Consider the following 23621-nt stretch of genomic DNA (forward strand, 5'->3'; position numbering starts at 1 on the left):
TATTTTTCTTATTATTTAAGAAATAATGATTCATTATATCATAAGCAAAAAAGTGTAAAGTTTGGAGTTCACTTGTGACTTTGTGACATTTCCTGTCAAATTATAATGCTGAATATTATTTTTTTTTATTTTAGATGGGTTAATCCATTTTAAAAAAATCATGCCCTGGAAGTGGAGAGGGTATTCTAAAGATATTTGCTAACATATAAGATCAATATCTGGGGTCAGAAAGATAAAAAAACAAGTAATAACTTATTGTATTGTAGCCATTTATATGTAGAAAAAAGTAAGTCAGAGTTGGAAAGCCTACTCGAAGTCAACAAAATAAATGTAAATTGAGCTTTATCATGGACAATTATAAAGCCAAAATTTACAAAATCAAGTAAGTAGCTGCTTTATTTAATTACCACAGTCCTGGACCGCATAGTGTTGTCTGTGGAAACTTGAGGGTTTCTGAAACACTTTCAGGAGGTTATGAAGATAAAGATTATTTTTATAAGACCTTTTTTGCCTTCCTCTTATTCATGTGTTGAAATTACACTGATAATAATGAGCATGAATCAAGGCAGTGGCACCAAACTATAGTGGGTTCTAATATTTACTATGCACTCACAGCTAAAAAAAAAATATCAGGTTCACTTAAGAATGCCCTCCATGATGCAGTAAAAATTAGAAATTTATATTTAGCATTAACTCTTGAGTATGCATCCTTTTAACATTCAGCCTGATGCCGCTTCCTTATAATGAAAGTACAATGGTTGCCTCAAAGCAAAGTATTTTTGCCATTGTTTGAGTGGTGAGCTAAACTAGCAGCTTTCTTTTCATGGAAAAACATTTGCACTTGAAAAAGCAACTGACAAACTATGGTTATGCAGGCTTGCATATTTGGCAGATATTTTCTCAAAAATTAACAAAGTGAGTCTGTCACTTCCAGAAAAATAAATTACGGTATTTGTTGCCAATGATAAAATTTAAGCTTTTGGGCAAAAATCATAATTTTAGAAAAATTGCATCCACCACTATATGTTTGATAGCTTTCCAACACATACTTTTCTGAGGATATTCATGGCAATATTACCAAGTATGATATTTTAATATTGTATTATAAAATGTGTCAAAATTTGGAAGATCTGCATAACAAATTGAACCAGTATTTCCCATAGACTAATGTAAGTGCTACAAAATAATGGAGAAGTAAAAGATACATTCAAAGTATAACCGAGAATAATGGATTTTAATATACTGCAAAACATTGATTGATATAGTTTTAGACTCCACATTGCCATTATCATTTAAGAAACTACCACTTGTAAGTTTTGGTTTAGAATCAAAGAAAGATATCTACAATTATCTAAATAGACCATGAAAAGGCTTTTCCCTTTTCTAACCATATGTGGGTATAAGGCTAGATTTTCTTCATATACTTTAGTCAAAGCAACATAGAGCAATAGATTGAATGCAGAACCATATATGTGAATTCAGAGGGTCTTCAATTAAGCCAGCTATTAGATTTGCAAAAATGCAAAATAATGCCAATATTCTTACTGTTTTTTGTTTTGGACAAATATAGTCATATTTTGTAAAGCATGTTATTTATGTTAAATTCAATGGTTTATTATAGTTCCTCTTAAATGAGTTAATAAGTTTTTTTCATCTTCTTTCTTTTTTCTTTTTCTTTTTTCTTTTTTTTTTTTTTTCTGAAACAGTCTTCAGTTGCCCAGGCTAGAGTGCTGTGGCTCCATCTTGACTCCCTGCAACCTCTGCCTCCAAGTTCAAGAAATTGTTGTGCCTCAGCCTCCCAAGGTGCTGGCAGGCACCACCATGCCTGGCTAATTTTTGTATTTTTAGCAAAGATGGGGTTTTGCCATGTTGGCCAGCCTAGTCTCGAACTCCTGGCCTCAACCAATCTGCCTACCTCAGCCTCTCAAAGTGCTGGTATTACAGGTGTGAGCCACCACTCCCTGCTGGTAGTTTTAAATTGCATTATTTCAATGTCTAATCTTAAACGATATAACTTATAAAAATAAAAGTTATTTGGGGTCTTCAATAATAAACCCTTTTTCACTCTTATACTTTCAAGAGTACAAAGGGTTCTCCAGATAAAAACTTGGAAAATTACTTCAAAGGCCTTTTAAACACTTTGCTTCACCTCTTCGCATGGTGCTTCCTCAAGTGCGGTCCTTTTGCCTTGCCACTGCTAGTTGGCTCTCCTAAAGCCTTCAATTACATCACTTTTGCAGATCACTAAAGGTCATTGGTTCTCTTCCTTGTTTTCTTAGACAAATCATCTCCCTGTATTTTTCCTATGCCGTTAGTTTTCCTTCCCACAATTCTGCCTTTCAAGTACTTTCTCACTTTGCAAGAGCCATTCAAACGCTAACTCCTTTCCAAAACCTCTTGGATGTTTCTGCTCTCTTCCATCGGAAGCCATCTTTTTCTGATCCAAGATATTAGAAAGTTGTGTATATCACTCTTACACATTGCAATATTATACATTTTACTAGGAATGTAGTTCTTTCTCTTCCTCATTTGTTAGGTTCTTAAAAGTAATGTCTTGGATTTCACAGTGCCTGACATAGAGCAAGTTTTTTTATTTATTCATCATTCATTTATTCAGCAAACATTAGTGATTACTTACCAAGCGTTGGAGGGTAAATAGTTAGTTACATACAGAACTGTGCATCATGAATTTTGGTATTAGTTGCAGAAATAATTCAGTCTTGTTTGATGCAAAATTCTTCTTATATAACAGCATTGAAACCCAACCCTGTCTCTAGCTATTTAGTTAACTAATTGCCAATGTTTTGCAGATTATATTTACACAAAACAACTCCTTTTAGCAGGTTAAATATACAGTTAACTCTTCAACAACATGAAGGTTAGGAGTGTTGACCTCCACAAAGTCAAAAATCCACACGTAGCTTTTGACTCCCCCAGATTCTTACTAATAGACTGCCATTGACTCAAAGCCTTACAAATAACATTTGTGGTTGATTAGACATTTTTTGTTTGCTATATATGTTATATACTGTATTCTTATAAAAACTAGAGAAAAATATGTTATTAAGAAAATTATTTTTAAAAACTACATTTATATACATTAAGTGGAAGTGGGTCATCATAAAAGTCTTCATCCTAGGCATCTTCATGTTGACTAGGCTGAGGAAAAGGAGGAAGAGGAGGGGCTGGTCTTGCTGTCAAATTATAATGCTGAATATTATGTTTTTTATTTTAGATAGGTTAATCCATTTAAAAAATCATGCCCTGGAAGTGGAGAGGTATTCTAGAGATATTTGCATGGCAGAGGTGGAATAAGTGGAGGAGGTGGAAGATGAGGCAGGAGAGGCAGGCATACTTAGTGTAACTTTTATTGAAAAAATATCCTTATGTAAGTGGGCCTTCACAGCTGAAACCCGTGTTGTTCAAGGGTCAACTGCAGATTAGACTTGTTTTTATAAGAATATGTAGAATAATAAATACAACTTTTATAGAGTAATAAATCAGTTCAAATATAGTCTACATGCATTTTCGCATAAAATGAAAGTATGCTCTTGAGCCACAGCCATAGTCCTAAAGGTGTCACTCTGGGTAATAATACTGAAATGTGATTATAACTCTGAACCTCACATGATCACTATAATTATTCTAAAAGGTTTTCCCTACTTTCTGTCTTCCACAGCACTTTCTGTGGATATGGTCTTACTTATACTGTATGGTTATTTGACTAATGTTTGATCCTTCCATTGAACTTCAAGCTCATGAGGGCAGGAAGGTCACTATTGCTCCCTATCATGTCTTAAGAGTGTAACATTGTGCTTCTTACATAGCTGATCCCATGTATTTGTTAAAAATAGGTGTAAAGAACTAAATGCTCCAAGATGGGAATAATATATGCTTTCATTATGATTTCCACAATCTCAGCTTAGATGCACTTCTATGAATGTCAGTATTCTGTTTCCAGTGTAATTAAACATTAGTGCTTACAGTTACTCGCAGAAAACAGGAAGCAACACATTTAGGATAGCTGTGTCTACAAAAAGAAAAGCCACAGACGTTACACAAAATATTAAATGCTTAAATCAGAGCTGGTTATTAAGCACTACAGCATATAATTAATAATATTATGTAATTGGCAAGATATTTATATTCAGAATAGAAGGCAATAGACTAATATTCTGTGAGTTTGGGGTTTTATAGAAGGTCAAATATTTATTTTGTTGACATTATTGTTTGTCAAAGTATCCTTATTCATAGGAATAGAGAAAGCTATTGTAATAGTTTCTAAGCTAGATCATCTGCCTCCAGCTTCTCTCTATCCTCTCCACACCTTCACACACTTAATTATACTGCAACTGGAATTTCCTCTATAGTCTAAATCTCATCATATAACTCTATTACATGGAACTTGGGTGATTATTAAATGTAGTGGCTCTCAATTGGGAAGCAATTTCTGCCTCCCAGGGAACACTTGGCAGTGTCTGAAGATACTTTTGAACACTACAAATGGAGAAGGCGGCTAAGGGTATTACTTGAATCTAATAAGTAGACACTAAGGAGACTGCTAAATATTCTACGATGCACAAGAGAGCCCTCCACAATAGAGAAGTGGAAAGCCCAAAAATGCAGTAGTGCTGAGGTTGGGAAACCCTGACTGAAGGTTAAAGCCATGGTGTCGAATTTCAAAGTTGCTGATACTATGATAAAGTCACTCTTGTCAGACCCAGTTAGAGTATAGCCAGAAAGTTATGAAAAAGGGGGCTGGCTCATGCTTGTATGCCTGAGGTAAGAACTACCATAAGGAATTTCTAAAACCCACAAGAGATTCTTGCCGCTCTTAACATGCATTTCACACCTTACTTGCCTTACAGACCTTGCTTGTTCTGCACTTCCACACATATTTCTGTAAAAAGGTTTGTTGATTCACCCTTTTGTGATGCATCAGATGCTTTATAATTTGCCACAACCTCCAACCATTTGTTACTGTCTTCATTCAGCTGTCTTCACTTGTTCATATTTCCCACCTTACCTAAAATATACCTCAAGTCTGGGCACACCCTACTTCACATCCACATAACAGCCATGCTAAATTCCTAAATTCCACTATATGCCCCTTTATGTGTCTGTGTTTTTGCATATGCTACAAAATCACACTGGAATTCTCTATTACTGTGTTTCCCAAGCCCCATTTGCCTGATGTACTGATCTATGTCCTTTCAAATTTGCTCCTTTCATTTGTGTCTCAGGTATGCATTTTATTTTATGCATATTATATCAGAGTTTGCACAGAATTACATGTTAGTATTTATGCCTTTGCTGTCTACTTTCTTTAGGCTTTCAGGTCTTTGAAAATTATGAACATGCTATAATTAGCATCTTGTCTCACAGCACCTAAGACAGTGCCTGGGCACATATTTAATTTTTGTTGTTGTTGTTGTTGAACTCCTGAAATTAAATCCGTCTCTACTCTACCCTTTAACTTTGTAAATCAATACTACCATACATCTAATAACTTGGACTACAAGTTAAGAATACTTTACACAATTTCTCTTTCCTCAAAGGTATAGAAAGTAGAATTAATGTTGCTTTATTTTTAAATTGCAGAGACTAGATGGTATAAAAGAGAAGAATATATCTATTGCAAAAGACTAAAGAATAGTTAATGTTATTACTACAGAAGAATACCTTTCAAAATTAATAAATTTGGGGTTGTGAAATTTGGAGTAATTGAAGATATTTCTTTGTATTTCTCTATATACCCTAAGTTTTCTAAAGCAACTGTGTGTTGCATTAATGTCAGAAAATTAAAAAAAAAGGAAAATCATATTTTATATTTACATTTTAAAGAAAAACAATTTTGGATTAAGATCCAGTTTTTCTATTATGAAATCAGAATATAGAACTGCTGATTAAGCTTCCATTCTTTCTACAAAGAACAAATAAAAAATCTCATAGCATGACCATAGTAATACAAACCATATACATTTTACATTTCTTCAAGTGTTTTGGAAGTACCTTTCAAAGTGTATAGCACTATATGAAAACTACACTTTATTTTTGTTTTTGCATCAACACGATAGATTTACCATTAGCTAATTTGTTCTTCAAAATTATTAGATTTAATTTGCTAAATGAGCCTATAACAGAAGCAGGTAAGATGTTATCGAATGTCAGGTAGTATATTATGGTAGGAAGCCTTAGGCTAAATGCTATCGCAACTGCAAATATGTGTAAAGACAGAAAAATGTCCATTATGTAAGTGTGGTGACTTTCTAAGTCTCTGTCCTTTTAAGTGTTCCAACAGCAGAAGGCAAATGCAATAATATTTCTGTGGCAGGATTCAGCTAAATGTTTAGCTAAATAGCTAGCTTGTGCAAAGTGACAAAAATCTAGTCAGGAAGGAATTACAAATCAAGTACACTATTATAACGATATGTTTTATTTCTAGATTCTTACTCCATCTTTAAATGGAGGCAACTATTCCTTATAATTCCCATATTTAAATAATGCTTATTTCATTAAAAAATGCTTTGTGACATTTGCTAGGAATATAATTAAACAGCTTCTGTTGTTTATGAAGTACAATGCTAGATAAGCTGGATGAATTCACATGTTTGTATAAGACCTCTGGAGTATGGGGTTCCGAGTATATATTTCAAATGAATATAAATGATCCATGCGTGTGTGCTGCAAACTAGGACACTTCAGTATTAGACAACTGTCCAAGCAGTAAAATGAAGATTAAAACTAACCAGAACACACACTTATACACATACATACACAACCATTCATAGAAATGGATTTAAATGGGTTATAAATAATATATTCATAATATTTTGCCATTACTTTTAATGTTAAAAACTTCAATTACTTTTGCATCAACATAATAAACTTAAAAATAAAATAATTTTAATAATGGTACTGTATATAGTTAAAACTCTGCTATTGAAATAATACCTCATATTTTTTGAGAATTTCTTAATGCCCTGTGTTTGGAACATCATCTGACTCATTATAGGTACTTCATCAACATTAGAAGTGAATGAATAAATATATCAATATATCCATAAATGAATGAAAGAATCCTGGACACTCTTGTACGTACTTTACAAGCAGTATCTTATGAAACCTAATAAACAATCCAGTAAGTGACATTTTCACCAATGCATTTGTGAGGCTGTGATATTAAGAATTATAATGTGGTGGCATCAGCATTGTAATTTAGATATTAATCATTTTTGTTTCTCTGCTTTTTTCTCTTTCATGCATATGCGTATACATTTATACCATATTAACTGTACAAAGGTGTTGAGTGGACAAAGGCATATAGCCAGGGGGCATCCACACGCTAAGCCTGCTGGAACAGCATTTACAGGAGAAAGCTCAGAGACAAAAGCAATAACGGGTGTCCAGATTCCCCATTAAGCCTAGAGATCTAGCAGATCCAAAAGACAGATACTGGAGACAGCTCCCAAATTTGGGTTGTGTGACTTAATGAACTAGGTTTTGAAAAAGAAACTGCCTCCCTTAGGGTGATGAATGAGAAGGGGATGTTGGCTCCCAAGACTTGTAGTAATCCAAACTTGATTACCTTAAGTACCAGGCCCTGCTGGTTTCCATGGAGCAAACAGAAGGGAGCTCAACCCCTGCCTGGGAGGCCAGCTTGGAAGAATTTGCCTTAGAAAAATTAAACCTTAACTCTCAAAATGAAATGTTAATAATGATTTATATTCTTTCTTGAGCATTTACTTTACCAATGCTAAGTGTCTGAAACACTTCCTGAACCAGCTTTTTAACTCTATAGGATTCCATTGTCTTCCGTATTAAAAGTCTGGTCCAGAAACTGAAGCAAAAGCAGGATATATTAAGTATCTTTTATCTCTACCAATAAATAAAATCAGTAGAATTCAGCAAGATTAGCAATAGAGATACAACTTCCACTTGACTGCCTGTTTGGTCTGAGTAAAATCAGGATGCTCACTAAGAGTGAAACAACTAAATCAACTGTGTTTGAGAACAGACAGTAATCTTTTATTGAGTAGCTTAACATAATTATTACATTAGGTTCAAATTTTATCTAAAAAGCAAAAATATTTTACCCACATAACAAAATCTGCATTAAAAAGCAAACTCAAAATAATTTAAGATGGATTTGCAAACCTCCAAGTTACACATTTTGCATGGAATTCAATTAACTAAAATAAAAAATAAATCCTAAGGAAATGTTAAGAATGTATTCTATTTAGTTGAATAATACCAAATTTATTAGAGCAGTTGTTTTCAACTTGTGTTAGCTAAGTACTTCCTAAAGGAATTTGTAAAACTATGTAATTCCCTACACACTTTTAGCTTAAAATATTTTGTAAATTTTAATACTACCAAAGGAAGTGATTTCTGCATTTGACAAATATTTAATTTTTTAAGTAAATTGGTTGTAATCCTTCTAGGAAATAAATAGAAAATGGGTGGAATGATCCTAAATACCATAGGCATTTAATTCCTATTGTAATATACATTCTTTAAATGTATGAAAAAGTTCTTTTTAACATCCTAACTCTTACCTAGTTACCTAGTTATTTTCTCTCGAACTCATATTTCCCATCCATTTCTCTGATAGAATGTTATTTTAAAATATGTTTTGGTACCTAAAATTATTTTAACAATCATACTTCTCTGACACAAAAACATAAATTAAAATTTGGCATTTTTCTATGACCCCAAAATGCTCAAATTTTTTTCTGGATTAAAGTATTATTACAAATAATATTGACATACTACTGACTGAAACATTATAAATAGATCATATTTTGTTGGTTAACTTAAAATTTTATCTCAGTGTGATGAAAGGTTTTTTTTTTTTTTTTCTCAATTGTTTCATATATCCATGGTTGACTCTAAATTATTCCTAGACTGAGACTGGATGCAGCATTGATTTCCATCCTATTTTTTGATGAATATTAGCATTGATGATGACCTTCCCATAAATAAATAGATGAGAAATGTTCCCATAAATAAATAGATGAGAAATGTTGAAAATGTTCCCATAAATAAACAGATGAGGAATGTTGAAAATTACCATTGATAACTACCTTCCCATAAATAAGTGCATGAGAAATGTTTATTCTGCAAATAAATTTATCATAATTCTACTCCCAAAAATTTTACAGTTATGTCACTCAACTATTTGAATTCCTTCTTAGTTGCTTGTCAGTGAACTCACAATGATCAACTGAGGAAGGTATTTTTAATCAGCTGACAATTAGGCCTTTCTTCAAATGTATTGCATATAAAACTTGGAAACAACCACACATTAATCAGCATTGTAATCCAGTTAATGGAGCCATTTATTTGTAACACAAATCCATATTTGCTATCATCAATTGTTTGGTGTCAAGGAGATACTATACACTGGTCCAATACACTAGGGTTAACAGTTCAAACAAGTGAGAGATGTGCATATATTTTGTAAAGAAAGAAAAAGGTGAATTTGAAAATACATATGTATATGTATATGTGTATGTATATGTATATACATTTGTGGAAAATGACAACAACTACAAGGTCTTGGCCAACATTCTCAGGCATATTAGTTTTACATAAGAGTATAGAGTTCACAAATTCCCAAATCAGATTCCTTAACACTAAGTCACTCTTGAATATATGTCAGTGCCAGAACAGGAAGACCTTTATTTTATAGCAGCTATTAGCATCACAATAAGAGACACTTCATGCTAAAATTTTTACAGTGGCAGGTGTTATTTTATTCAATAAGCATTTTATTGAGGTATTTCATACGTAAAGAAACATACACAAATTCAGAGTACAATTCAAAAGCTTTACAAAGTGAATATCCGTGAGTAATTAGCAAGGATATCAAGAAACAGAAAAATATCAACATCTCAGGAGCCAACTTAAGCCTTCTTTCAGTCATGTCCTCCACCCTCACATTCAAAGGAAACCATTATCTTTATTTCTATACAATTGATTAGTTTTGTTTTTTGCCTTTACGTGAATGGGATCTTTCTGTATATTACTTTTGGTTCTGGTTTATTTTGGTCAATGCTGTGTTTTTGAGATTCACGCATAATGTTTTTATTCATCTTGTCCATTCTTTCCCACTTTTTTATGTCATGGGTCTACAAACTACATCTCACAGGTTAAGTCTGGCTCACCGTCCATTTTTGCAAATAGATTTCTCATATTCCTACCCATTATTTATTTTTTATTATTTTTATTATACTTTAAGTTCTGGGATACATGTGCAGAACGTGCAGGTTTGTTACATAGGTAGGTATACATGTGCCATGATGGCTTGCTGCACACATCAACCCATCATCTACATTAGGTATTTCTCCTAATGCTATCCCTCCCCTAGCCCCCGACCCGCTGGCAGGCTCTGGTGTGTGATGTTCCCCTCCCTGAGTCCATGTGTTCTCATTATTCAACTCCCACTTATGAGTGAGAACATGCAGTGTTTGGTTTTCTGTTCTTGTGTTAGTTTGCTGAAAATGATAGTTTCTAGCTTCATCCATGTCCCTGCAAAGGACATGAACTCATCGTTTTTTATGGCTGCACAGTATTCCATGGTGTATATGTGCCACATTTTCTTTATCCAGTCTATCACTGATGGACATTTGGGTTGGTTCCCAGTCTTTGCTATTGTGAACAGTGCTACAATAAACATATGTGTGCATGTGTCTTTATAGTAGCATGATTTATAATCCTTTGGGTATATACCCAGTAATGAGATTGCTGGGCCAAATGGTATTTCTAGTTCTAGATTATTGAGAAATCGCCACACTCTCTTACACAATGGTTGAACTAATTTATGCTCCCACCAACAGTGTAAAAGTGTTCCTATTTCTCCACATCCTCTTTTTCCACATCCTCTCCACTAAAAAGTTTCCTGGCTTTTTGACGATCACCATTCTATCTGGTGTGAGATGTATCTCATTGTGATTTTGACTTGCGTTTCTCTAATGACCAGATCTGCACAGCAAAAGAAACTATCCTACTCATTATTTTTACACAATAGCTACAGCTATTTTTGTACTGCAACAGTAGAATTGTGTGACAGAGAATATATGGTACACAGGTATTTACTATCTGTACCCTAGACAGAAAACTTTGCCCACCTCTGCTTTATAAATATTTTCTAGTATCAATACATGACAATTTATTTTTCTATTCCTGGGGTTGAAGACTATGGCCTGTTTTTGCATATGGTCTGTGAGTTACAAATGGTTTTTTCTCTATTTAAAAAAATTATTACAAAAGAGAAAACCCGCTTTCACCATTCCTGTTCAACATAGTACAGGAAGTCTTAGCCAGAGCAATCAGGCAAAAAAATAAATAAAAGGCATCCAAACAGAAAAAGAAGTCAAACTATCGCTTTTCACTGACAATATGCTTCTATAACTAGAAATCCCTAAAGACTCTGCCAAAAGGCTGCTGGAACTAATCAACAATTTCAGTAACGTTTTAGTATACAAAATTAATGTACAAAAATCAGCAGATGTCTATGTACCAATAAAGCTCAAGTGGACAGCCAAATCAAGAACTAGGTCCCTTCTACAATAACCACAAAAACAAACAAACAAACAAACAAACATACCCAGGAATATAACTAACAAAGGAGGTAAAATATCTCCATAAGGAGAATTACAAAACACTGTGGTCAATCACAGATGACACAAACAAATGGAAAAAGATTCTATGCTCATGGATTGGAATAATCAATAGAGTTAAAATGGTCATACTGCACAGAACAATTTACAAGTTCAATGCAATTTATAGATTTCTATCAAACTACCAATGTCATTTTTCACAGAATCAGAAAAAAACTATTCTAAAATTTATATGGCATCAAAAAAGTGCCCAAATTGCCAGAGCAAATCTCAAGCAAAAAGAACAAAGCCAGAAGCATCACATTACCTGATTTCAAACTATATTATAAGACTACAGTAAACAAAATAGCATGGTACGGGTACAAAAAGAGACACATAGACCAACAGAATGGAATAGAAAACACAGAAATAAAGCCACACACCTGTAGTCATCTGGTCTTTGACAAAGGTGACAAAAATAAGTAATGAGGAAAGTACTCCCTAATCAGTAAATGGTGCTTGGATAGCTGGCTAGCCAATATGCAGAAGAATTAACTTGGACCCCTACCTTTCACCATATACAAAAATTAATTCAAGATGGAGTAAAGATTTAAATACATAATCTCAAACTATAAGAATCCTAAAAGAAAACCTATAAAATATTTGGGACATTGGCCTTGGGAAATAATTTTTGATGAACACTTAAAGCAATTGCAATAAAACAAAAGCTGGCAAGTGGGACCTAATTAAACTAAAGTGCTTTCACACGGAAGAAAAAACTACAGAGTAAACAGACAACCTGCAGAATGGGAGAAATCTCCAACAAAAGTGTAATATTCAGAATCTATAAGGAACTTAACAATGCAATAGGCAAAAAATAAAAAACCTCATTAAAAAGCTGGCAAAAGACTTAAGCAGACACTTTGTATATTAAAAATAAAATTTGTAGGTCCCAGATGATATTAAATTCTCCCAAAAAAAGGCTTATTTTCTCTTCCGGGCAAATAAACTGAGAAAATTTCCCCTTAACATAATCAGAGGCCAAGCTAGCTCAAAGCTGGATTGCACTTTTGGAAAAGTATAGTCTTATTCTGACTTATTCTTCTTACTTTCATCTGAAAGCTTTAGATATCTCTTCATAATGGTTCCTGTCTGGTATGTTTGTCACCTTAGCTCCACAAAATTGTTGTAAACTTCAGTCAGTACCAGATTTTTCCCCTCACTTTCACACAACCTCACAAACTAGCAAATGTTTTGAGACAGAAGAAAGTCCCATGTGACAGCCAAAATCTCTGCTAGTTTCCCCATCCCTCCAGCATGATTTCTCTTTGTGAAGAAACTAATTCTCACCTTCTTGTTTGTGTCCATAAATAGAAAATGACATCAGGGAGAAAGCAGCTACTATCATCAGCTTACCCTCTTTCTGATTCTCTCCTCTGTGGAATACTAACCACTTCAGTTTCATTGCTTCTGCAGCTCTCTGATACATTTATCAGATAACTTTATAAATTAGCTCTTTCTAGTTATTGTCCCTTGGAGCATTTGTCCACTCAAAGAAGTATTCCATTCCATGCAAAAATAGAAGTCTGTCATAACTGTGTTGTTTGTTTCCTTTTAATCTCCCTACTGACAGAGTAAGGAAATTTTGGTGCATTCATACAATTGAATACTATGCAGCAATTTTTTTTTTTTTTTTTTTTTTTTTGAGACGGAGTTTCGCTCTGTCGCCCAGGCTGGAGTGCAGTGGCGCGATCTCGACTCACTGCAAGCTCCGCCTCCCGGGTTCACGCCATTCTCCTGCCTCAGCCTCCTGTGTAGCTGGGACTACAGGCACGCGCCACCATGCCCGGCTAATTTTTGTATTTTTAGTAGAGACGGGGTTTCACCGTGTTAGCCAGGATGGTCTCGATCTCCTGACCTCGTGATCCGCCCGTCTCGGCCTCCCAAAGTGCTGGGATTACAGGCGTGAGCCACCGCGCCCGGCCGCAAGTTTTTAAAATAAGGCAGATTTATTATATATTCTGCTATGGAAACTTTACCAAGTTATGTTGAGACACTAGCCTTATTTTTATGTTATGCTTTTTTGAGTTATTTAAATTAAAAAAATATATAAAAAGTATAATTTTTTAATTTAAAAAATCCTGCCAATAGAGTTCCCTGACTGTACAAATCTAAAAATTAAACTTCTAGTTGCAGGATTGAAAATAAAGGAAACAAATGTTTACCTTCTAAAATTCTATCTTTATAAATGTGCATTAACAAACAAGCATTGATGAGAGTATTCCATAACTGGAAAATATGGATGTTATTAGATTTTATTCTAGTTTGATTCTATTATTTGGGTGATACTGGAAAGTCTCTGACTCCTCAGTTTCTTAAGATCCAATCTAGAAATTGATAACACTAATAATATAATTCATTTCCAGAATTCTCTTATCCATTAATAGAAACATTATTTGATACCCTGACAATTAAGTGAAATAAACAGATCAGTATCTTAGATTATACATCCTCCATTGAGGAGGAGATATATATATATATACACACACATACACACACTAAGTAATAATATAATTTATATAATTATATTTATATATAATTCATATATATTGAATATTATAAATTTAATATGAGATACATATTCATAATAAATATATATATTAATTTTTAAGGTTAAATTGATACCTTCAGGTTAACTTGCTACTGTGTGTGTGTGTGTGTGTGTGTGTGTGTGTGTGTGGTGTTTCATTTAAGCCAAGTACAAAGTATATTCTAAATCATTACATTTATTTGATGATTACAAAAGAATTCTCTGGGTCACAGTAGCTCTTTCTCTTTTGGCTATATTCCATTCTGAAAGCTCATAACCTTGGCCATTACAGATGTTTTAAATTTTAAATAGCATTTATTAGAGTATTTTTTTCAGTTTTAGAATTTATACTTCTATAAGGCACCTTTCCAACTGTAGAGATTTGGGGATTCTTGTTTGCTTGTATTTAAAAACAAGATCCTACTATGTTGCCCTGGCTGGCCTCAAACTTCTGGACTCAAACAATCCTCCCACCTCAGCCTTCCCAGTAGCTGAGACTACAGGCACAGCCACTATCCCTGTTGTGACTATAGAGTTTTGATTATTCAATTTGATACAAATATTTTCTTTTCATAAGGTGTCAAATTTAAATTAATGCATGGGCCATTTTATTGCTAACGCATAAAAAGCTAAGAAGTTAGCAATATCTAAATGTTATAGCTATTTAATTAAAATAATTTCCAGTGTAATATTTTTGTATTTAGAATGTCTGTGTGAAAATTAGTAGTCTTATTCTACTGGATTCAATATATATTAGAAGTGCACATGCCCTATTATATTTAGCACTATACTAATTTAAGTAAAAGCCACAATATTTTAGAATTCAGGTGTAAAGCCACTGTATCTGACTGTGGATGCCCTGCCCAGAGTACCTGAATGCCTTTAACACTTTCTGTGGGCCCTTCCGCCAGCTTTTGTGTCTTTACTTTTAAGAGCTTACATTTGCAACTCTCTTTGGAGTGTTTCCCTTGGCCTACTGAGGCACATTTGCCTGCCCAGACATGCAAACAACAGGAAGTGCTGGGAGTTTCACCAAGTACTCCTTGAGGTCTGATTGTTCCACCCTTAGCCAATGACTGACTAGTGTAGAAGTATGAAATTCCAAGTCTTGTGATTTCAGACATGACAAGCTCTGAGGCATTATTTATACTCCAGAGATGCCCTGCAGCATCAGGCCCAGGCTGAGACTTTCCTTAAAATCTCACCACTTCTTGGCTTCCTTCCCTTCGCTTTACTGCTTCTCCTACTCTTTTGTGGGGTTAAACTGTAAGCATTCTTTTAAATGAATCACTTGTACACATGATTTAAAACAGCCATTTCATGACTGGGCAGCAACTTAGCATAGTGATAATGAGGAAAGATAAGGTACTATCACCCTCTTCTTGATCCTAACCTCCCTTCCAAGAGAAATAATCATTGTATAAGTTTAAAGTCACTGGGATAATTCTCTTTTCCAGTAGCTATGCTTCTGAAGGTTTATACTATAGAAATATTGACTTTCCTTATGCAAAACAAGCAGAAGTTCTGCCTACCCTGCGTTCATCCTCCCTCAGCCTTAAAATGAGGCATTCAGATAGCCATGCAGACATTGTTACTCTTATTAGAATTTTTCCAATAAATGGAAACAGCGTTTTATTCTCACTATATACCAATAAATGGAAACAGCATTTTATTCTCACTATATATCAAATGGATATTAACTTCGTGTATATATTAAGGTTTATTCTAATCAAGTACTTAAAAAGATATTTGTAGCCACTGTTGAAACCCCAAAAGCAAAATATTCTATATTGATGCAAGTTTTTTTTCCAAAATTAAAATACCACAGCAGATGGTGGTATAGTTGAAGCATTTCCAAATTATTTCACATAAATATAATTGCATTATGACTCTATTACAGAGAAAAAGAAGGATATATGAAGTCCATGTTTAATTTTAAAAAATCACAATCAAACTAAATTGCCAGGTGTAATGATACAACTAGAACAGATGGCAGACGTGATATCATACTTAGAAATCAAAATAAATTATTCTATTAATAAGAATAAACATTTTTCTGTTTTTTAAATGTGAAAAATTGTAATAAAAAATTACCTTATCTCTAAATGTTCTGTAATCTTTTTAAAAAAATTCTTCTACCAAACAAACAAAAAAACCCTTTAAATAAAACATGCACTAATACCCTTAAAACTCCCTCCAGGATGAATTAATACTGCAATTTACCTGCTTCTTTTAAAAAATATTTCTCAAATTATATTCGATTGCATTTCCATATGTGTTCGCATCAGAAATATACCCAAAAGAGCCGTTTCATCTTTTCATTTCATAAAATTACCATTTCCAGCTGTAGAACTCGTGATTTTATACCTGTTTTTATCTCCTTGTCCAATTAAATATGATTCTACAGAGGATGAAAAGTGTCAGGTATTCTGTACCAGTGCTTCTCAATTATGAGCAAGCATAGGAATCTCATGGACTGCCTGTTAAAACACAGGTTCCTGGTTGCCACCTGAAGAAAGTCTGATGGAATAGGTCTGGGGCAGAGCTAGAGAATTTGCTATTTTATTCGGTTGGTGAAAAAGTAATTGCAGTTTTTGCCACTGAACATAATGGCTAAAACCTACAATTACTTTTGTAATAATGTAACAATGAGAATGTTTCAAGTATCAGGACAACATTTTTAGTAGCACTCTCTAGGTGAATTTATTCCTTCATTTTCCAATAAAAGAATAACTTGATAGTGCGAATCTGGCCACATACCCTCACCTCTATAGAGGTGTAGCAAAAAATGCCAGATTTTGTGTTTCCTCCTTTTTTATTTGCTTTGAATATTGAAATCACATTTTTTCAATTATTTTAAAAGATAAACTTTGGGATTAATCAAGAAGCTAGAAGACTAGGTTCATCCAAGCACATGTCTAGAAAACTACAAGAAAGCTCAAAAAAGAATCAACTTCTGAGGCGTGTCAACTCCTTTCATCCTGGCTCCTGTCACTTTAACTCTGACCCTCCCACGCCTGACTTTTATTGGATGTTTGGCTTATCCTTCATTGATTGACAAGTTTCATTAATTCTATACCACATTGGGAAAAATAAGTAACAAGTGGTAAGAACCACACCATTTACATTTTTAAAAGAAAGTTTACACCATGTGACTTGAAATTGACTGAATCCTAGGATTGAATCCTGGTGGAACCCTGGACTTGATCACGTGGTATCTTCAACCTCTAGGCAGTTTTGAGTCTATAATGACCTCCAAATTTCAGAGGACTCTTATAATGTATTTTATTAAATAGTTAAGTGTTTCAACTTTCAATATTTTATCACAATCACTTCAGAAGTTTCAGCGAGCTGTTTTTGCAGTTGTTAAATATTTTGGAGAAACTTCCATATTCTTCATCGTGTCTATTACTGGACTGAAATTCTAGACACTCCCTTTGTAATTATCTGTTTTATGAGATCTTGGACAAGGCACTATACTTCTCTCAGCTTCACTTTCACTCATCTGAAAAAAAAATTGGGCCAGATGATCTGTATCACTCTTCTCTTTCAGTTCAGAACTATTCCAAAAGCCAGTTCCTCGTGCCACATTTCTTAGACAATTTTCTTTTGGAGGTGGTGAATGTACATACTCTCTATCCCTGAGAAAGAAGAAAGATGAAGGATAAAATTAGGTTTCCACATTTTTCATGAAGAAAACTGTATTAAAGTTATTTATAGGACTTAAACTACTTCCCCAGGCCAATTTTCTAATCCCAGAGGTAATGTTTAGGTTCTCTATAAACCTGTATTGCTTAATTACTTATACCCTTGGAGAAATCATATTACTACTCACTGCAATTTAATTGACACTAGAGAGTGGTGTTACTTGATCGGTTTAAAACATTATCACACTCCAGATTTCATTAATAAGCATAGCTTTCTGAATTCCTAATATGGATTTTTAGAGAGGTTTCATAGATATACACAATGTAAATTAAATGCTGTTTAGCATCATATACATATAAAAAGATACCATTTGAAACAGGATCTAGAAGAACTAGTTTCAACTTATACCACCTCTAATTTTAATAGCAGTTTGACAAAAACTTGGCTTTTCTTAGGCTTCCGTAGAAAATCTTTAACTTTAAAAGGAGCCAGAGCCTTGCCATACAGGGCCCCAGGCCAGCCATTTACAACTTGGAGTCTGTTGTTCTGCATCCAAGCATGTCACTTCATCAGAGCTAAAGCATCTCTTTTAAATCTGGATAACAGCTTTCTGGGCAGAGTGGGAACAGAACTCTTTGGCCTCCTCCCCATGATTTCCCTCTGAATCATCAGAGAAGTACCTCAACATGGTGGGCCATCACTTTGGATAGGATTATCAAGTCTGTCTAAGCTCAACTTGTCTTTGAGGTTACCCATCTCTACACAATCTGCTCTCACTCAGTAGAGAAGCAATCAGCTCTCTGGTTAATGTCTCTTATCGTCGATACTAGAACTTACCCTTCTGACAGCTGTTAGCTTTTAGCAGCCCAGTCCAAGACAAGTAGAGATAGTTAAAGGGGCCACCTTTATCTTTTGAACACCATAATATACTTAACAGAATATGATCTATTTAAACCATTATTAATATAAACCAATAGTTCTCCTTTTTACAGTCCAGACTCTTAATTTTACTAACTTGTGAAAAAAGAGTATTAAATGTCCAGAAAAAAGAAGAAAGCCAAGATGAACAGGATATAGAACCAATGATAGGTTTGAGAATTTATGCAGTCACCTGACTGAAGTCAACAACAATAAGTTTAGTACAACCATGAAATATTACATTGACAGGCTTCAAAATCAATTGCATAGGTAGCATGGTAGAGATACAGTGATTTCAATGAAAAATATTTGGATGCTTATTTAGTCACTTAATATGAAATAAGAGTATACTGAAAATACGCATAAATATGCTGTGCTCTGCAGGCATTCAAGAAACTTGTCTAATGTTGGACCTCATATCTAAAAAAAGGATTACGAAAAGACATCCAGAATAATTCTTTTAAAAAACTTAATATAATAATGATAATTGAAGGAATTGATGGCTAACAAGACCATCTGGCCAGTTGTGGGTTATACCATTATTGGGATAGACAATGAAAAAACAACAATTTTTTATTGCTCTAAAAAATTGCAAAAAGACTAGTTCTATGCTATTCCTGAAGATAAAATTAGGTTCAAAAGAGCAAACATAATACTAAAACATATTTTGGTTCAACATAAAACATCAACTTTCAAGGAATTTGAGTGCGTAGCAGAGAAATAAGCTTCTTCATCAAATATAGAGCTTAGCATTAATGGAAATGTTCAAGAAGTTATATGACTAATTCTCATGTTGACTCCTACCCTAGATTTAAATTAGAAAATGGAAATTTTATTTTTTTCTGGCCAATGTAAAAAAATCTATGATTCCTCAATTTGAAAATGAGTTTCTTAAAGATAGGGTCTTCTTTTCTTTCATACTCCTTAAATTGGAAGCCTCCCCTTGAAATGGTGTTATTAATCATAGTGTTTCTTTCTTAATACAAGTGGATAATTTTTCTAGTAAATGCATCAAGCATGTATAACAAAAGGGATGATGATATAACCCAATACCAAACACAGAGAAACAATTTTAAACAAATGTTTCTTTATTCATCCCTGATCTTATAGGGCTTTACTTAAGACAGATTTATTTAAGCCTGATTTATGTAGTCATTGCTCATGGTTCCTTTGGCAACTGATAATGAAAATTGTCATTTCTTTTTATTGAAATCTAAGATGTGTCATAAAAAAATCTTCTGCTTAAAAGGCTTCAAACTTCATTTTTCAGAAAAATCCAGATTTCCTGTGATGAAACATTTCCTTACAATTTCATACATGATAAAATACATGTAGCAAATAATTTACATAAGATCTCTTCAATTTGTACAGTGGAAGCTTTTGTAATTTACAGAGCATTTTAAACACAGAGAATTCAGGGAGAAAACAGCAAAAGATTTTTAAACTTCATTGCTTAAAAGTAAGCTTCAGGTGACATTTTAAAATAAGCTTCAAATGCTGTGTTTTTGCTAGATTTACACCTTGAAGCTGTTTCTATTTAGTTGATATTTATGTGGTGTTTCATATTTCCCGCCTCTAAAAAATATTCTTGAGGGGATATTGGCACATTTCCTCTCTGCAATACCACTGCAAGCATATTTAAAGAAAAAGAAGACACTTTGGGAGGCTGAGGCGGAAGGATCACTTGAGGCCATAAGTTAGAGGTGGCAGTGAGCTATGACATGCCATTGCACTCCAGCCTTGGCGACAGAGCGAAACCCTGTCTCAAAAATAAATAAATACGTAAAAGAAAAGAAAAATAAAAAAACATTCTGGCAAGTTCATATGATAGCATTTCAGAGTTAGAATTAGAGGCTTGAATTTCAAACTGTTTGATCTTAGACGGTCATTTATCCACTTCACAAAGATGGTAGAAAATTGGTAGCTTTGTGTTGGAGGAATGACACTATCATAGTACACAAAAGAGACACACATATTCTTCAGAATAAATCCTTCGTGTGAGTCTTCAAATGGTGCTGTGCTGTCGCTTATATAGGAATGAATTTTCTGACATTTTCCACCTATTTTCTGTAGTGATAAATTCTGAAGTTTTTGTGAAGATAACCGTATGTATTTCAAAGCGATTTAAAAATTTTCAAAATTGAGATGAAATAAGAATCTAACTTTCCCTACATGTTTCTAATAATTATATTAAAACATAATGTGTATTACTGTTTTCCAAACATACTGCAGCCTAATGCAAGTGAGTTTCTCTCTTCAAAGAACTGTTGATACTTTTCATTTTTATGAATTATGCTACTCTAATATATTCTGATTATTTCAGATTAAATATTTTGCTACAATTCAATATTAGCTTCTATTAACTTCAACTAGTAACGTGAAAAATGGTGCAAAAGGAAGCTATGGAAGATATTCTACAAAGAAGATAATAGATTTTCTAAATGTTAATTTCAGCTTGAGATAAAAGCCAGACTGTTTAATCATACAACTTTTCTCCTGTAAATCTTGAATTTCCAAATTAAATTGTCAGTCCCAAATAGATTGCATGGCAGAAAACAAAATTCTAAAGTTATCTGTGACAAGTCTGTACAAGAAAGCCTAAAAAGAAGAGTGACAGAAATTAAAAGCATCTATAGTCAAGTTTCAGAGCATAATGCATTTGTTTTTGGTCAAAAAAGTGACACAAAAGGAAATAGGGTGTATTTTCCCTACTGCAATAAAATATAAGGCAAAAAAGATGATAAAATGTTGATCGTATTTCCGAAGTGGCAGAGTTCAATATTAAAGTATGAGAGGAACCCAGAAATGTGAACATCAAAATATTGGGTGATTGTCCTTATCAGAGAATTAGACATCCCTAACCTATTGAACTTAAACACGATCATATGGCTTGCTTTGCTAAGGAAATGTAAGTGAAAGTGACATGTGTCACAGCCAGGCCGAAGGTTCTTTTCATTGACTGCAATTCTGGAAGCCCGTATTGTGATGGATCCTTCATCAGCCAGGATCCATAGATAACAATGATGAGCAGAATATCACTGCTTGCCCACAATAGATATGTAGCATGTGTAAGAACTTTGTTGTTTTAAATAAGTGAAATTTTCCATTTGTTTTTATTGTATGATAATTTATATTACTCTGACTCATAACACTAAGCCATGTGGCCCTTCAGGCTATCACCAGGAGTGAAAGAAGAGAAACATATCCTCTGGTGTCCTGGAGGATTCTGGACAGGGGCATCTTTTAGATCAATGTCATCAGAAAAAAATATATTGGGCGGCTAGAATTCCTTAATTACGGTATGGATATCTGTCATGAAAGAGGGTCCCACACACACATTACTAGAGCTACACAGGGCAGATATAACCTAGACTTTCCTGGGGTAAACCTTGCAAATAGAGAAGTAATAGAGTGTATGCAGGCCTGTGGCATCTATAAGTTACATATGAAATATTAGGCTCCTGAGGGAGCATGACGATTTATACCCAACTTATCTACCTACATTAGAGTAATACTGAAAAGAAGAAATATTAGCAAATAAAGGGATATCATTATTATAACTAACAAAGTTTAGTTTGGAATATAGTATATTGGGATAGTCAAAATGGGTTTATCATTTCCCTAATCACCAATCTGGACCCTAAAATAACCCTCCCAAGGATTTGTGCTTACAGAAAAGACATTCCCAGTGATAGACTCTTACAGGTCAGAATGCAGATACAAGGAATTTGAAAGACAGCAAGTTTTTTTCTACACAGAAACTTCTAAAAGATGAACTACACCAAATCAAGAAATGTCAGTCATGTCAACTCACTCATTTTTCTTCCATGAAGAGAAATAAGACAAGAGGGCAAGGGTTTTCAGGGAAAATCTCTATTGAGACTAGTAGTAAGGGATGAGTCATTTCTCGTCAAGAACATATCGTCTTAACCATTTGATCCTAAACATATGGTCAACCAGAAGTATGGCTCAACACCTTGGAAGAGGACATAAGCAGTTTCTCAGAACAATCTTCTGATCCATTCTTTTAGAAGTGACCTTACAATGTCAATCACAGTTGGTGAGATAAGTCTAGGCTAAAGAGGGTTCTCAAATGAATAAGAACATTGCGTTGAATACATTCACCCTAAGGTCAATTTTTACTCATGACTAAAAGCAAATTTTTTATTCCATTCTTCTTGTATTCTATGTCTGATTACTTTGTCCGATACAGCCTATAAGACCATGAAACAAAAATGACAACATTAACTTAAACCTCAAGAAAACATTCCAATAATAAAATGCTGATGCCTTTTGTCAACTTCCCAAGGGAAATTAAAAAATAAAAAATTACATTAATTTGTGTTATAAAGTCAAAAGAAAATAAAGTCAAATATTAAGTTATTTACCCTGTAAATGCAAAGAGAGTGAAGGTTAAAGTGTATCTACCCATATTCTATATTTTGCTTAGTCTCTCAGCAAGTGTTCCTCAAAATCAAGCAGAGTTGTGTTGTTTCTTTTTCTTTCCAGCAGCTAGTCTGTGCTCTTTCTCCCTGAAAATGGTTGTGGTTCCATCACATGAATTTAATGCCAAGTCTTTCAAGAGCCAAATATTTAACGAGTCTAAATAATTAATCGGCTTCACAAAGATTATCACTACACTGCTCAACATCCACCAAATTTAGAAAACAAACTAATCTGCATCTCCAGCAGTGGTTACTCCAGACAACAAAATATTATTCCCAGAACACAATTAGGGTTGCCACAGGCTTATTTAATGACAGAGGTTAGGCAAAGAACGCCTTTGACTTCAGCCTCAGCAGGATCCCATATAACAAGTGTCTATAACAATGGAAAACATCTATGATTTGTGAACCTATCCA

The 23621-nt window shown here is 33.9% G+C and overlaps 1 annotated feature.

Annotated features, from left to right (window-relative positions):
- Nucleotides 524-1025: an enhancer, noted in NCBI's record as "NANOG hESC enhancer chr12:85117712-85118213 (GRCh37/hg19 assembly coordinates)". NCBI's record gives its function as "activates a minimal SCP1, AML or CMV promoter by ChIP-STARR-seq in primed H9 embryonic stem cells {active_cell/tissue: H9 hESC(primed)}" and the evidence as "EXISTENCE:reporter gene assay evidence [ECO:0000049][PMID:30033119]".

The sequence above is a fragment of the Homo sapiens genome, chromosome 12, assembly GCF_000001405.40.
Source record: "Homo sapiens chromosome 12, GRCh38.p14 Primary Assembly".
In the NCBI taxonomy this organism is placed as follows: Eukaryota; Metazoa; Chordata; class Mammalia; order Primates; family Hominidae; genus Homo; species Homo sapiens.